The 17684-nt window shown below is 34.6% G+C and overlaps 1 protein-coding gene across 2 annotated transcripts in view, besides 1 other annotated feature; it reads left to right on the forward strand.

Annotated features, from left to right (window-relative positions):
- IL1RAPL1 (interleukin 1 receptor accessory protein like 1) overlaps positions 1 to 17684 on the forward strand; it is a 1369273-nt gene that overhangs the window by 247447 nt on the left and 1104142 nt on the right. The gene's annotated exons all lie outside the window — the stretch shown is intronic.
- Positions 8819 to 9371: an enhancer, noted in NCBI's record as "OCT4-NANOG hESC enhancer chrX:28861828-28862380 (GRCh37/hg19 assembly coordinates)". NCBI's record gives its function as "activates a minimal SCP1, AML or CMV promoter by ChIP-STARR-seq in naive H9 embryonic stem cells {active_cell/tissue: H9 hESC(naive)}" and the evidence as "EXISTENCE:reporter gene assay evidence [ECO:0000049][PMID:30033119]".

Raw genomic sequence — 17684 nt, forward strand, 5'->3', positions numbered from 1 at the left:
CTGTGTGCCAAATATCTGCATGACACACACAAACACACACACCGATAATACAGTGTAGAAAGATAATCTATGTAAAGATTAGCAAGGGTGCAGTGGAAGAATACCCCACATAGAGGTCATTTCCTCTTCAGAGGATTAAGGCAAAGGCCACCAAAGTGACTTATTAGAGGCAGAAGCCAGTCAGAAGAGGTATAATGTTTGACCTACAAAGGGCTTAAAACTTATATTCTGTTTGTTGCCAACATTTAAAAATTAGGATATCACGTTAATATCTGGATTTCTGGCATCCTCCTACACATCATGATATCTGAAAACCTTGCCCATTGCCATGGTCTGAAGCTGACCCTCAACTACTTCCCTTGGGCCTGCAGCCAGCCTTGATGGCTTATGCTTTCTGAAGAGAGGAATATGAGTTTATGAATATTAAATAATTTTTTGAGGAGTGGCTTTAAGCTTTACCTTAAAGAATTTCAATAGAGATTTCCAGGCTGTGTGAGGGAATAGTACAATGCAAGGAAAGAATGGCACTTGCTGGGTGAGCTGAAGGAATAGGAATTAGGTGGGAACTATCTCGATTGCCCAAAATCCAGCACAGTGGGGGGAACTAATCAGAACATAAGATCTGACCTTAATATCTTAGGAAATTCTATGTTTTGAAAGCTTTTATAGAGGAATGACAAAATCAGAGCTTTAATTTTCTAACAGGCCAAATGCAGCCTAAACATTGCTTATTCCAGAAACTGTCATTTAAGTGTGGTTATTTGAATTGAACATATAGGCTGAAATGCAATAAACCGCCATTTTTGTAGGTTAAAAGGAATAAAGTATCAAGTACATGCAGTTTGGCATTACAAGTTTGCCTAGTAGCACTTTAAATGAGTCACTAATTTAATATATTATTTCTTTTATAAAGTTCATTTATACTTTCTGAACCAAGACAGTGGAGCTGGTACAAATATACACTGTAATGCCTCCCTATTTGTTGTTTCCTTTAAATCTTTAAAATGTGTTTTTATATTTGTTTTTTGAGATGCTGAATTTCCATAATATTTATTAGAATATTATATGTATTGAGATGATATTTCCCTATGTTAGGGAGAAACCATTTGTGTTATATAAACAAACAATAAAGTTGTCTAAAAATAGAAGATCCTTTTGGAAATGTTGATGCCTAAAAGACAAAATTATGTGGATGAACATACGTAAGCTTCAGTGAGCTTTTCTTGTACTAGGCATTTAGCTGTCTTGCAACTGTTAATCAGCACAGGCCTTAAAACAGCTGCTATCAGATTAATTAGAGGGAATCCAGGAAATAATTCAACTGAATGTAGCATTCATGTAAGTGTGTTGAAGGCAATTAAGAGTAACTATAGTCATTACTGAGACTTCCAGGAAGTATGCCAAAGGGCTTGAAAGTTATAAAATGCCTTTTGCTTCCCAATTTTATATATATATATATATATATATATATGACAGAGAGAGAGAGAGAGAGAGACAGACAGACAGAGAGAGAGAGTCCATATATAAACACACACTAATAGCAATTAAAAATAAATAAAATTGAAAAGCTTGAATTACAGGGTGTTAACTCACTTCTCTCTTTGAAATTAAGGGGCCAAGGGAAAACAAGACCATTTGTCTAAATTCATTTAGAAAGAAAAGGATTTATTTAAAGATGCTGTGGCAGATAAAATTACGTTTCATTTTTGTAATCCTAGTTTTCATAGCCAATGAAAGGCTTAAAATAAAGGAAGTTGATATTTCACCAAGGTCACACGATCTACGAGAAGGAAACTTAAGAAAGTTTCCTAATGCGGGATTTAAATCCTTAAAAACTTGCTGTGGTCATCATCGGCATCATCATCGTCATCATCATCACCACCACCACCACCACCACTGCTGCCATTAATTATTATTATTATCATGACACAAAGGTTGATTACCTGGCATCTCATCTCATTTCTACTGTTCTTAGGTTTCTTGCCTGTCTTACTGAATGACAGTATGTTACTCAAAACTCAGCATGGCAAAAAATCTGGGTTTTTTAAAACCAATTTTGCCTGTGGTTGGCACCTTGAAAAAAAACGAGAGACCAAGAAAGAGGGAGCCGAGGATGGGAGTGGAAGATAAAGATTTAAAAGAATAAGTATTGATATTCTTTTCTCTTTATTTTTAAGTGACAAAACTTATATATATTTATGGCATTAAATATCATGTTTTGATATGCGTATACATTGTGGAATGGTTAAATCACACTAATATAGGCATTACCTCACATACTTAATATCATTGTTTTGCTATTTAATAGGTCTAAAAGCTGAAGTCAGAGAACTCATTTATTTATGAGAATTTTGGTGTGCAACTGCATTTTGCTATGTGTTACAGTCTTTTAACCTACTTCCAAATCTCTTCTTAAGGATGAGCTAGAAGGAGAGACTGGCTGACACTCCTCATTTTTGAAGCCTTGGCTTTTATAAAAGGGGCCTTCAGTGTAGCAAAAGGCCTACTTATAATTCTGTAAAAAGATGTTCATGTTTTTCAGGAACGTTTGTCTCTATTTAGAAAAAATAAAATGTAGTTTGGGAATAGCGGAAATGATTGATTAGAGTGTTACACATGAGACAAAAAGATAGATGGGCAATACCGTTCCTGTGTTTTCATGCCCTGTTCCTCATAAGCAACAGGGCAAGAGATGATAATTCCCAGGAGAAGCAGGAGAGGCTTCTGGATCATGAGGTGCTATTCTCTTACAGAGGTGCTACCACAGTTACTAGGTACTCATTCCACTTCTTTTTTTTTTTTTTTTTTTTTTTTTTGAGACTTATTTTGATTACCAGGCCTCTGGTTTACCAAGTGTCAAGCCCACCACGGTCCCATCTTTTCCTTATCTCCCTCTTCAATATTCCTGTCTACCACCACCCTTCCCTCACCCACATAGCAATACCACATACCATCATTTTTCTCCAAGCCCCATCTCTTACCCCTTGCAAACTCTGCCATTGTTTTCATCCCAGTTCAAATTTCCTCCACACAATAAAATGTTCTCCCCATACTGTGACTTCCTTGACCTTACGTTTTCCTAGGTGTTATTATCTTCACCAAATCACTAAGTGTAGATTATGTATCTTTGAGTGTTCATGGATTCATGTGGTTAGCTCTACTTTAGCACGAGAAACAAATGCCCTGGAATCACTCTAGGAAGAACGTTAGTTGCTATGTGGAAATAAGGAGAAAGAAATATTTTAGGGATGGAAACTGTATCACAGAACTTCAGTTTTTGAAAAACTGGAAGGAGTCTTAGAATCCATCCCGTCTAAACCCCTCATTTGAGAGTTCTAGAATCTGAGAGCCAGAGGGCTTGCACATCTGGTAAGTAATGGAGTATATTCTTTTGACAGTAAGTACTAAAAATTAGGTCTTGTAATTCCCTGGCCAGTATACTTTCCACAACACTACACAGAATCTAAGCTTTGGCTTATATTATTTGAACAACTTGAACAAAAATGAGGTACCAGATTTTGACAGCTGGAAATAACCGGAAGTAAAAGGGGTTAGTATTCCCCAAACAAGAAATAGACGAAACAAAGATGCAGAAAAGAGAAATGAGTGTGGTCCTGTTAGGGAAGAACATATGGGTCAGTACACCATATAGTACCAAGGCTGGGTAAAAGGAGTCTTGGTGAAGGCAATAAAAGGAAATGTTTTTCTGCTAAAGAAATTAAAAGTAATATTAAAACAAACTCGGGTTTTTGTCTTCCTTTTTTTTGTTATCACCATGACCTGGCAATTGCAAACAATACCAGTGATAAACTATTCCTCCTTGAAAAAAATACTTTATAATCTAAATTCTAAATAGTATCTGCTGTTATAATCAGTATTTAATAATATATGTATAAGCATTAAATTAACCCATATTTATTATATGCTTGAATAAACATTGAATTCTACTTGGAAGTTTACTAGGGGAATTCCTAATTGTAATGGTGTCTCTGACACATGCACACTGAAATACGCACATTAATTTTGAGAGTAAATTTATAAAAATTTCAAATGATTGGAGCTTGCTTCAGAAGGACTTCATGTCTCCAGCTCCTATGGCACTACATAATCCTGCATTTAAACAGAAGCTTTGAAATAAACCATGTGAACACATTGATTATAAAGGTGAGGAAAAAGAACTTGAGTTAGAACTCAAATTAGAACTTCGTTCTATTGTGTTATTCTGTGCGAACACTTGGAATTTTTATATGTGCTTAAAGTTTAAAACGATGAAACAGTGCAAATGAGTTATAATGTTTTTGGTAAATGCAAATTTCAGGTTATAAATTTTCCAGAATTTTAGTAATATCTCTAACATTGAAATTTGACCTTCTTGATGCTAGAACCTATACCAAACTGTGGTGGACAGAATTTACTGTATCCTAAGCAAAATATGCTTAGAAGTAAAATTAATATTACCTATGTTTTTTCTTATATTTATAATTTTATAAATCTGTTGATAATTAAAATTAATGAAATGTATTTCATGATTTAGATGGACTTTAAAATATGACTATAAAGCATCATTTGTTTAGTGAAACAAAATATAAGTAATTGGACACTATTTTGAAATGATATTTTAAAATAATAATTACTTTTAATTATATGTGATACCAAATTTTTAAATAAAATGTCTATTGAACAGCTAGTGTTCAAGGCATTGAGCAAATGCATGTTGACAGTGAGAGCTACAAGCCACATCTAAACATCAAGGATTAATCCATCATGATGATGAAAAATAGATAGCAACTATTATCAGTACATATTTTTAAAAAATTTATGACTATTTAAATGGGAAATAATTTGTTTAAGTTTTTACATTGCATATTTCAACAACTTGTCTTGATAAAGGAAACTCAGGATGTAAGCCTGACACCCAAAGAGAGTTGGAGGGAATTCATTCATTAGGAAAATATAAGGAAGAAATCATGACATCAGTTACCTCTGTTAATAAAAAAAATCAGAAAAGAACAAGTAAGTAAAGTGGCATTTTAGAATATATAGTAGAGTTTAAAACTGTTAAATATTTGAGCATAAGTATTTTGCTTTGAGAGAGAAGAAAAAAATACTACACCAAGTAAGAAGTGCTAGTTGCGTCTCTTAGAGTGTACCAAAACGATATTGGACATTGGAGCCTCGTTATTTGTCACCTGAAGATGACTCATGGGAATAGAATTCTAAAGCAATGGAAACAGGCACTTTATATAGGAGTAAATATCACAAAACACATTTTTAAACTCATTATTTTGAAATATATACTTAAAGAATTTGCAAAAATACTAGAGTTCACCCATCTTCCTCTGATAGTGGCATTTCGTATAACCGTAGTACATGAACAAAATCAGAAAATTGACATTGGCACAATACTGTTACCTTAATATAGACCTTATTCAGATTTCACCAGCAAGCACATTTTTTAACACTAAAACTTTAAAAGGATTTAAAATATATATCCTGTTTTTAAATCTTATTTTTTGTGAGTCCATAGTAGGTGCATATATTTATGGGTTATGTGAAATATTTTGATATAGGCATGCAATGCATAATAATTACATCAGGGTAAATGGGGTATCTATCACCTCAAGCATTTATCCTTTGTATTACAAACAATGTAATTATACTATTTTAGTTATTTAAACATGTACAATTAATTTAATTGATTTAATTTTACATTTAAATATTTTTTGTGGATAAAAGTATTTAAACTAAATTTAACTTAATAATAAGTATATATTTCTATACTCATTTTCTGAATATGAGTTATAAGATGGTTGGACTTTATCTCTTTATTCTATGTCTTAAAAGACTTAAGCTTCCGTGTCTAAGTTGTACTTCCCAATGGAGTCAGAATCACTGAGACTAGAACCCCTGGAAGCTAGAATGAGACAGATACAGTAGTAACTGGAGCTGTGGGGAAACCTTAGGTTATATCCTCCAAATCATCTTAACAGCAACAAGTATGGAACCTAATTTCCAATGGAAATATGTTTTATATGTGGTCTTGTAAAATAGTCCTGTTTATGAACAATTCTATTTCAGTACGACAATAGACATACTGAATATTAAACCTTAAATTCCAGCAGAGAATTTCAGAGGAAAATATTTTTTTCAATATAATATGAAAAATAGTGTCAATGTTTGTCAAAATGTGACTCTTTGAATATTCTAATATACTAAGCTTGAAGGAAAACTATAAATCTTTTTGAAATGTCTTTTCCATTTTTTATTTTAGCAAAGTATGCAATACTTAATATTCCAGTAGTCTACCAGTAGACAAATTTACACTTATTATGTTCACCACAAAGTCTTTTATGACTAGGAGATTCAGAACTTCTTATAAATCTTATACCATAATGCATAACTTAGAATAATTTACATAAGAAAAATTCAACTCAAAGACTAAACAGATACCAAGAATAACATATTACATATCTAAAATTAGAAAGCACACAGACACATTTTAGAGATAATAGCAAAAGCTTTTTAGTGCACAAATAAAGTTAGTAGAAGAAAAACAAGGTAAAATGATACATATTTTTAACATTACAGAACATTACTAAGAATACATTGCCTAAAATTGATTTATAAACAGAGAAAAGTCTTATGCTCACAACCCCTCTATTTTAATATAAATTTAAAAAGAGAGAAATTGCAATGAAATTGATAATCATCATATAAGCCATGATTTGCACCTTTGGTACACATCATAATTGCTTGGGGAGTGATTTTGGAATACACCAGAATAAAACCTGGTAAGTGGTAGTTTGAGATAAATCAAATAAAACACATTTTTTTTTCTATAACAAACAAAAGGCCAAGTCTGGAATCATTGGTTTCTGTATGGTGTATTTTATCCAGGACTGGCTTATAGATTATTTAAGAGTTAAAATTATGATTACATGGTCACATATATTTGACTTTAGACACTTTTAAATTTAGCTATATATTTTAAGTAGAGATTCTTATGAATATGGAAATAAAATAATGTACAATGGTATGATAATCTGATTTATCTAAATTCTGAGTTCTAGACATGCCAGTGAGCTACACTGGTAGTAGGACTCAAAAGTGCATTATGTAGGGAAAAACATGATGAATTGATTTCTTAAATCTTTCTCAGCTAGTGGTCCCTTAGTGGCTTACCCTGGTTTGTCACCTCTCCCATGATATTTATCAATACTTATGAACATTTTAGAACCTTTCTAGCCATAATTTGGAACCTAAAATGTTTACCTATGCATGTACTTCAAGGATAAATATGTTATGATTATGTTATTTGAAGGACCTGGCTAGAGTGGAGCCTACAGCTGAAGTAACCAGAGTTGGGAGGGTATGTTACGATATAAATTTCAAAAAAAAAATAGTTTTAAAATATGGCTATGTAAAAATAACTTCTATTACTTGTATTTTATGAACGATTCAACCTGTATAAAAAATATAGTTCTGTGGAAAAAGTTTGATATTAGAGAGTTCTGTTCTTTAATCTCTGCCACATTTTCGCTAAACATCTTTTCTTTGACCTCGGCCAAATTCCTTAACTGTTGAATCTCCTGGGGTGCCTGTGAGAATTCAAAATGCACCTCAAAACAGCCTAATACATGGCAGACATTCAGCAAATGTTCCATTCTCCTATCCCCTAATTATCACACAAGACAATTACTTTTAATCTGTACATATTGAGGAGCTTTGCATGTTGTGGACACTTTGTCAATATTCGTTGAAGGAATGAAATTGTGGATTAAATTTGCTGTATTATAAAACTGATATCTTTTACTTAATAAAAGCTTGGCAGTATGAATTGATAGAAAATGAGTAAGTCTATTTATTTGGTGGTAATGAAGATTACTGGGATAAGTTTCCAAAGCAAGTTATAAAATATTGTTCCATTAAACTTTTAAAATGGGATTTGTTTTCCTGCTTTTTGCCTCATACAGAATAAGTATGGCTCTGTTTCAAGATTCTGGTGTGTTCATGATGACCTCTCAAGATCAATTCTGAATCACAGGGAGAAAACGTTGAAATGATAAAGACATGGATACTAGAAATGCAAGCAAGTTATAGACCATTTTATTTACCCATTTTTTTTTTTAGCTCAAGCAATTTCGTGTCTTATATTTATGGATAAAGTTGAAATAAAATTTCCCTTTTTTTCTGTTAAATATTAAGAGTCTGGGGATTAGTTATGCAGCATCTATTTATTTATTTCTGTCTTATAAAAATTATCTTAAAGGGCTTGGCTTAATTTCTATACCATAAAGAAAAAATGTGTAAGATAATCCCTCGCTATCGGGATCATTTTCTTATATAATTAATGAGCTGAACGTAAAAGATAGGTGAATCTACAAATTTATTTATTTTCTGTCTTATAAAAATTGTCTTAAAGGGCTTGGCTTAATTTCTATACCATAAAGAAAAAATGTGTAAGATAATCCCTAGCTAGTCGGGATCATTTTCTCATATAATTAATGAGCTGAACGTAAAAGATAGGTGAATCTACAAAGAAAATGCCCCAGGTACCATCCATTAAAGCATGTTGCTGCTATATGTGCAAGATGTCCAGGGTATGGCTTCCATAATTATAAACAATTTACTATGTCTCAATTATTATTTCAATTGTTAATTCCCTTGTCTCTGGATTGATGCTTTAGTGCATCATTTATTGTGGATATTTTGGATAAAATGAATCTTTGGATTTTGTAAAAACAATATTTCAAATTTGTATGCATCTTTGAAGTCTAAATAGCATGTTATACAAATTGAAAATTGACTGTAAGAGTTGCTACAGATTCAAATTTTATGTAGTTTATTTTTTATATCTTGATTTGTGAAGAAACAAAAACCTTAACTTTGCTTGGTGGCAAGAACAAGGGGATTAGAACATGAACACACAGGATATTCAGAGCAGTGCGTTTGTAAGGCATGCCTTATTTGAGTTTCAGGTGCTTGCTCATTAAGATGAAATTTTTGTCAGGCAGTGTGTATTGGGAGTTTGCTACTTGAAAATCAATAGTCTGCATTCTCTGCCTTATTGTTTCAATAGCCTCTTAACTGATCTCCCTGCTTTCGCTATTGAGCTCCCTGCTGCCTAGCTCTTTGAGCTCATCTCCTAACACTTCCCCTCTCTCCAGCCTTAGTAAATGCCCCCACCCACATCCATTTGTGATATCTTTTCATTTTCTCCCACCAAGAGGTGGAGTTTAAGCTCCCCCTTTTTGAATGGCATATGACCTTGGAAATTCATATGGTCGGAAATTCAAATTTCCCACCAAATTCCCACCAAAGTTCCCAAAAAAGGTGGGAACGGAACGTAAACCCCCACCAAATTTGAATTTGAAATTCAAATTTGGTGGGGGTTTACGTTCCCACCTTTTGAATGCCATGTGACCTTGGTAATTTGCCTTGACAAATACAATGTGGTAAGATTGACATCATGCCATTTCTAGGTTTAGACCTTAGGAGACCTTGAATGCTTCCATTTATTCTCTTGGAACCCTGCTATCAACAGATGATGAAAGACTTAACGTTTTACTCACCCCATTCGACAGGTGGCCAATCATCAGACATGAGCGAGGCCATTGTAGAACAAGAAATCCCCTAATCTTGGCTAGGTTTCCTCATAGGTCTGGGTTAGCTGTTGTGGGTACTCATGTCTTACTTTAAAATATGGTTATTTAATACCTCTGTATTGTTATTCCTCTAAGAAGATGTAATAAGTCCTCTGGAAGATATGACATTAATGGACTTCGCTGAAGTTTTCTGTGACTCTTTATGTCTCTTGACATAAAAGACAAGAATCTCTTTAATAGAAACAAAGTATTTGTCTCTATATTTTTATGGTTGAAAATGTGACTTAAACTAGCTACAATGAGGAAAGAACATGTTACTTGATTGAGATATGGTGTTTCCTTTAGAAAAGAGAAATGCAGTTCTTATTGATATTGTCTTACTGGCATTGTGTACAGTTTGATAGCATTCAGTATTGAGTCTTTTGTGTCACAGTTCTTGAAAAAGCTTTGATTCTTGTTTTAAGATTACCTATATCTTGAGTGATTTTGAAAGCAAGTGCCAAGAAAAGATGTTCTATTGATGTATACATGACAGGTGAAATATCACACCTTTTCAGAAGGCTTCTCTGGTGAATTTAATTCCAAAGACAACCAGAGTGGAGGTGGAAGTAAAAGATACGATTTGTCATGTTATTATAAGTGCATTACAAAAGTAAAGAATCATAGCCCATGCAGGAGGAATGATGTAGGGTCTTGTTTATTAGACATTTTTCCCCAGGGTTTACATAGCTTAGGGATTATGCAAACAAAAACAAAATATATATAGTCCAAGATAAACAAGCCATATTGAAATTGATATGTATGTATGGTATTAAATATTGTTAGATTTTTCTGAAATTCTCATTTTTTATATATTCAACACACATTACTTTAATTGTACGTATTAAAAAAATTTATCAAAATAATCAATGATATAAAATCTCTCCTTATATGATTTAAAATAATCTAGCTATGTCAGATTAAAGGAAACTATTCTGTACCTCTATATCTGGTCAACTCAGGATTTAACCAATAGGGCCCAGGGTATTTTTAGTCTAAATAATATACATTTATGTTTAAATCATTGATTTGAATCTAATGGCAGCTTGTTGAAACATCAACTGAGTGCTTGACTTTCACAGACAAGTAACACATTTTTGACTGTAGCATTTCATCTGAACAATACAAGGTCAATCCTCATATAAAGTATAAATAAATCAGGGGATTCTATTGTATACTTATAACACATATTCATATATTAGAATTTTATGAAGTTAAAAAGATTTTATTTTCTTAAAGATTATTTTTAGAGCAGTTTCAGGTTCCCAACAAAGTTGAGAAGAAGGTACAGGGATTTATTTTACACCCTCTACCCCTACATATGCATAGCCTCTCTCATTATCAACATCCCCCACCAAAGTGGTGCCTTTGTTACAATGGATGAGCTTATTGTGTTGACACATCATTATCACCTAAAGTCCATAGTTTTCACTAGAATTCACTCTTGGTGTTATACATTCTATGCTTTGGGACAAATGCATCCACCATTATAGTATCATATGTATTTTCCCTGACCTAAAAATCCTCTTTAGTTCTCCTATTCATCTTTCCATCTGCCTAGCCCCTAGCAAATACTGATATTTTCCTGTCTCCACAGTTGTGCCTTTTCCAGAATGTCATATAGTTGGAATCACTCAGTATGTAACCTTTTCACATTGGCTTCTGTAACTTAGTGATATGCATTTAAGTTTCCTCCATGACTTTTTATGACTTGATAGCTGATTTATTTTTAGCACTCAATAATATTCTATTGTCGGGATGTACCCAGGTTTATTTATGTGTTCACCTACTGAAAGACATATTGGTTGCATCTGAGTTTTTGCAATTATGAATAAAGGTGCTATAAATATTCACGGGCGGGTTTTTATGTCAAAATACAGTTCCAACTCCTTTGGGTAAATTCCGAGGAGTGTGACTACTGAGTCATATGGTAAGAGCATGTTCAGTTTTGTAAGAAACTGCCAAACTGTCTTTTAGTGTGGCTGTACTATTTTGCATTCCAAACTACAGTGAATAAAAGTTCCTGTTGCTCCGTATTCTTGCCAGCATTTTGTTGTCAGTGTTCTGAATTTTGGCTATTCTAATAGGTGTGTAGTGATATCTCATTGTTGTTGAAGATTTCATTTTTAGTCACAAAAATCATATAGCATTGGAAGGAATGTTAGATAGCATCTGGTTAAAATCACCACTTAATGTATAAACTTACTCTGCAATATTTCGTTTTAAGCAATCATCTCATCCAGAATCCTTTTAAGACCATCTATGGAATGCTTCTTGTCATGAGATGCAGAAAAGCTGTATGCTACCAAACATTAGAAGGCCCCAGGGCTCAGTCCTTGGACATCTTTGCTTTGTGCACTTACTGCCTTGGAGATCTCTTCCAGTATCATGGCTTTAAATACCATTTTTATGCTGGCAATTCCCAAATTTTCATCACCAACCTGGACCTCTCCCCTGAACTCCAGACACATGTATCAATCTGCTTAGTTGACATCTTTATTTTTTGTCTAAATGGGTATGTCACACTTAGCGACCCCAAACAAATTCCTTACTTTTTCTCCCACACCTGACCCTTCACATTCTTCCTCAGTAGTAACTTTATCCTTTCAGATGATCATGCCATAACCTTCATTCCTTTTAGCTCTTCTTTTTCATGCACTCCAGTCTATCAGCAAATTCTTTCAACTCTTCCTTGAAAAGAAGAGTTGAATGGACTCAAAATTTGACTAATTCTCACCACACCTGCTGCATCTTAGCCCAGTGCCCCTTGTCTCTCACCTGTTTTATTTCAATAGTCTTGTTACTGTTTTCTCTGCTTTCTCCCTTGCTCCCTTTAACTGTTTTATTCTGAATATGGCAGCCAGCGTGATTCCTTCACTTACCAATTGTATGATATTCTTCTCTATTCAGCCTCTACTTATAATGGTCTTTTATCTCTCTCAGAATAAAATCCCAAGTCCCCACAGTTGCTCACAAGGTTCTCATGCATAAACATCTGGCTCCCCAATGCCTCTTAGTATATCCATTAGTGTTTTCCCCTTGTTTGCTCGACTCCAGGGCACAAGGCTCCTCTGTTACATCAGACACACCCCCTCCCACGTCAGTGCCTTGCACTTGCTGTTCCTTTTGCCTGGGATGCTTTCCACACAGCTATCTCATGAGTCATTCCCGCTCCCCTGCCTGTCACAGTCAGCTCCTTCAGGTCTTTTCTCAAACACCTCTGCTTAGTGAGTCCTTCTCTAGCCACCTGATTAAACTTGCAACCTACTTCTTAACTCTTTTCACCAATGACTTTTTATATATATTTAAATAATTTCTTATTGTCTGTCTCCCTTCACTTCAGATGTCAGCTCCATGAGGAGAGAGTTTTGTCTGTTTTGTTCACTATTATATCCTGCATGCCTACAAAAGGCCCTGCTTTATATACACCATAGAATACTATGCAGCCATAAAAAGAACGAGTTCACGTCCTTTGCAGGGACTTGGATGAAGCTGGAAACCATCATTCTCAGCAAACTAACACATAAACAGAAAACCAAACACTGCATGTTCTCACTCATAAATGGGAGTTGAACAATGAGAACACATGGACACAGGGAGGGGAACATCACACACTGGGACCTGTCGGGGATGGGGGGAAAGGGGAGGGAGAGCATTAGGACAAATACCTAATGCATGCAGGGCTTAAAACCTAGATGACAGGTTGGTAGATGCAGCAAGCCACCATGGCACATGTATACCTATGTAACAAACCTGCACGTTCTGCACATGTATCCCAGAACTTAAAGTAAAATAAATAAATAAATAAAATGAAATAAAAATTAAGTCCCCTGCTTAGTAAGTATTGATTGACAGAATGAATTATTTTTTATACATTCTAAATATTAGGGAATTCTGTACTTGTAGGGTTTTTTTTTTCTCAACTGTGTATTTTAAAGGAGAGAAAGCAATCAACAACTCCTTTGTTTTTAATTTGGGTTTTCTATATTTAACAGATTTATCATTTTATTTTTTCCCTCAGTGAACTTGTTTATTAAAAAGAAATCTGTCACTAGCCAAAAGCTGTCTACCTTTTAGCTACTCGGCAATATTGGTGCATAATCATGGGTTCTTGGGATGCTTCCAACTTTGGTTTGACCTTTACAGATTAGCTCTGAATTAGGGACCACTGCTGGGTGAGAAGTAAGGTGTAGGAAGAAGACAGATATTCCAACACAATCTGGAATAATTAGAAGGACGAAGACAACAAGGAAAGGAGACTATTTTCAGTGCTTCAGGCCTCATTTTTATAACTGCTGACACAAGCCTGCTATTAAAATAGTCACATTTCCTCAAATATTGGACTTTCAGATGCAAACGGCGCAGTCAAATAGTTCTGTTAACATGACCTAATTTTCAGAGCTAGGTGTTATATGTGCTTTCATTCTGAGTCTGTAAACCTTTAGACCTCTGATTCTTTCAGCCCTAAGCTGATAGTATTATTGTCTAAAACCTAGCAATTTTCTCTGTAAACTTTATCATTTTGCATTTTATAAAATCCTTTATACTTACCTATGTAGAGCTTGGAGTTTACTATCCTAGGGAGAAGGAGTACAAGGCAATTAAAAAAAAAAAAAGCCCCGTATTCAAAGCAGAATGTTTCAAAAAGACTCTACTTCTGAAAAGGGGAAAAAATCACCATTGTTCTGTTGGCTGAATGTGTTGGAAGTATCTCAAAGAAGTACAATTGAATTAATTATATTTTCATCTCTGTGTACCCATTCAAGTCTGAGAACATGCACTTCACTGTAGTTTTACCTCCTTCTGGATTACACGAGAAGCTGCAAGATTATCAAGATGTCAGACATTCCTATTGGGATAACATGACATCTTTACTAAGGACTTCTGTGGGTCTGATGTTCTTCTTCCTAGAAAATCATATGAAAGATACTTTAAAAGTGCCATGTACCCACTTGAGCTTATTTTTTAATTCTGATTTTTAAAAATATTTTACTACTTAAAGTGACATTTAAAAAGCATATTAAACAACGATATAAGACTCTGACTTCACAAATTAGTTTTTCTAAGAACATCTAATTAGACAACTTGGATTGTGTCTTACCAGGGTGCATAGATGTAACCAACCTAAGCCAGCCCTTTTGACAATCTGCAGTATCAAAGCAAAATGGAACTCTCGTCTTATACTTACATTAGTACATAGGTGGTCTTTCTTGCTCATCTTTATCCCCTTTTTAAAAACCATAGCATAGTGAGTAACACATCTTATATACTGCGTATTAGACACATTTCTGTTTATCTTTGTCCCTGTCTTATGAATCTTCATTTTGATTATCTGAGCAGTGTTGCTGATTTGCTCTACTGGCTTTATTCAACTAATGCCAGTACTCCCTTATTGGACTAAGGTCTTAAAACTACCGTGTGCTTATGTGTACTAAAGGTAGTTACTGTCTGCAAGTGAGGAATACATTTGATGGAACTGATTAATTAGGGTGATTTTCTGTTTTTGTGGTCAATTGAAATCTTTTGTTAATTTTAGCTTTGCTAATTTTAGCTGAATTTTCTACAGTAATTTTTATTTATCCATAAGTATTTGATTTCTGCAAATTGGAAGTAAAATCACTCATGTTTGTTTACCTAGTTGGAGCTCAGATTTTTATTAAAATATTGTTAAAATTTTATTAAAATATGCCTATAAAAGCATAGTGACTGGCTGAATGCATTGTGATGCTCACGAAAATGCCCTCTCACATCTCCTACCGCAAGAAACACAACTGAGTACTGGGCTCGAGATGCTGCTTTCTGGATCCATCACAGCTTTGGTGCTGAGGCCCCACTCTTCTTAGGAGCTGCTTCTAGTCAGTGACAGAGTGCAGCAGCAGGGGTACTAAAACGGGCCCATTGCTGAGGGATGTGGGAACTCCACTGATGGCAATGTGAGCTCAAGAATCCCCATGAACTTTACACTGCACTACAGTGTAAAGCTTGTTTTCCTTCCTCCCTCTCTTCCCCCTATTCTTCAAAGAGGTTAGACCCACATCGAGGTGAGATCGGTCTCTTGGCCTCCTCTGGCTTCCTCCTGTTTTCTTTCATAGGTGTTCCTCTCTGACCCTGCCTCTGATAACTCTTGGGTTTGTCTAATCTTATCTTTGTGTCTGCTTTTCCAGGAGGAGAACCTGGATTACCACATGCAAAAAAGATGCTTTTGTCCAAATAATTTCATGTTTGGGCCCCTTATTCGTATTTGGCCACAAGTTTTAAAAACCTGATCTGTAGTCCTAAACTTATATACCCCTATGGTTTTTTTTTTTTTTTTGGAAGCTGTTAAATAAGTCTGAATATTCTCTTCATTTATGTTGTTGAACCTAGCATTCACTTCTTTTCAATTTGAACTCCGCCAACCAGTATGGAAAAGTATAGTCTCTTCTGTGTCTGCCAGTCAAAGGTAGTTTGTTTACCCCATTTAGCAAATCATGACAACTTGATGACTCTTTACTAGGTCCACTACAATGTTGATATGTCGGAAAACACTTTCACAGGCTACTAGATCCTATTATGCAATTTTGTAACAGAGGCTCAGGCTGGAGTTAAGGACTCACACTTGCCTTGGAAGACGTGACACCCTGCTATTTAGAATGAGTGGTGCTTTGTTTTGTTGTGCCTGTTATCCAGGATCAAGACAATGAGACATTTACCATCCCCCTGCATATCATTTTGGCATGTATCCTTGTGAAGGGTTGTAGGAGGCAGCAGTTATTAACTCCTTAACTGCACACATATTTTGCAAAAATAGAAATTTTGCTTGTGGATAGCCTCCCAGAGTTGTTATGGTGACTCATCAACAATCATTTCTAACACCTGGATATCAATACAAATTATTTGGGAACTTTGGCGGTTAAGTATTACCTAAATCTTGGTGAAAATTCCTTCCTTATTAAAGTATTATCGGCATACTAACAGCTTGCTCCATACATCCACAATTAATATTTCAATTTTATTAAAAACATCTGAGAATGCTGATTTTATAATGTCAACTTTAAATCTGGAGAATCTCTGAGCATGAAATGGTACAGTAGTTACCATCGAAGGAGCAGCTGAAGGTCAGCCTCTGAGGTGCATTAATTCTTCCAACATTAACTCTTGTAAAAATGTCACTTTATTGTTATTAAGTAGAGGTTCTTAAAAGGCCCATTAACTCTGGTGGCTACAAAGTGGCACATCAATTATAAATTTGTTTTATGTAAACGGAACCCCCAAATGACACCATCAACATATTGCTTTGTACTTAGGATCAAAATAATCAAAGCCACTATTTGAAAATGTATTTGCTTGATTTCTCAGACAGAATCTGGGGATAGCTGAGCAATCATATCTCATGCATTGAAGACAAATTGCCTCAGTGAAATTTCTATTATAGTTTAAGAAAATTATCTTCCTGAATTTGACACACTGAGGTGGCTGGGAATGTAGTTATCCAGCAACACCTGCTTAAAATGCCAATAGGAGGTATGTGGTAACTTTGTTCCACTCAGTTGCTACACATGACCTTTGGAATTGCCACAGCTACCTTACAGCAGAGAACAGGGACGCACACAGGGATTTTCAGAGAAGCACTAAGGAAAATTTGAAATGAAGCTAAATTCAAGAAGTAAATGATACTTAGACCTTTTGCAAAGAAAACCCAGAGATTTTAAAATAGACAATAGCATGACAATTTATAAAAATGAAGCTATTTAAACAGTATGATGTATAGTATTCACAATAGCTTAAAATATTTTATTCCCAGGAGCAACCTAATCCATAACTTTTTTTTTTTTTGCTAAATGTTAGATGTTGATATTTGCAATGCATTGCCTTAAATTGGAAGATTATAACAAATTTGTGTATTTTATGGTGTACTGTCTATGTATTGTCTCACAGCAGCTTTGATTCACTTCCATATTAACCTTGATAATTTGCTTCTTTCAACATTCAGGATGAAAACTACTTAATATAATTAAGTTGGCAAAGCCTGCATTTTGGCATTTTATCCCACTCTACATT

The sequence above is a fragment of the Homo sapiens genome, chromosome X, assembly GCF_000001405.40.
Source record: "Homo sapiens chromosome X, GRCh38.p14 Primary Assembly".
Taxonomy (NCBI): Eukaryota; Metazoa; Chordata; class Mammalia; order Primates; family Hominidae; genus Homo; species Homo sapiens.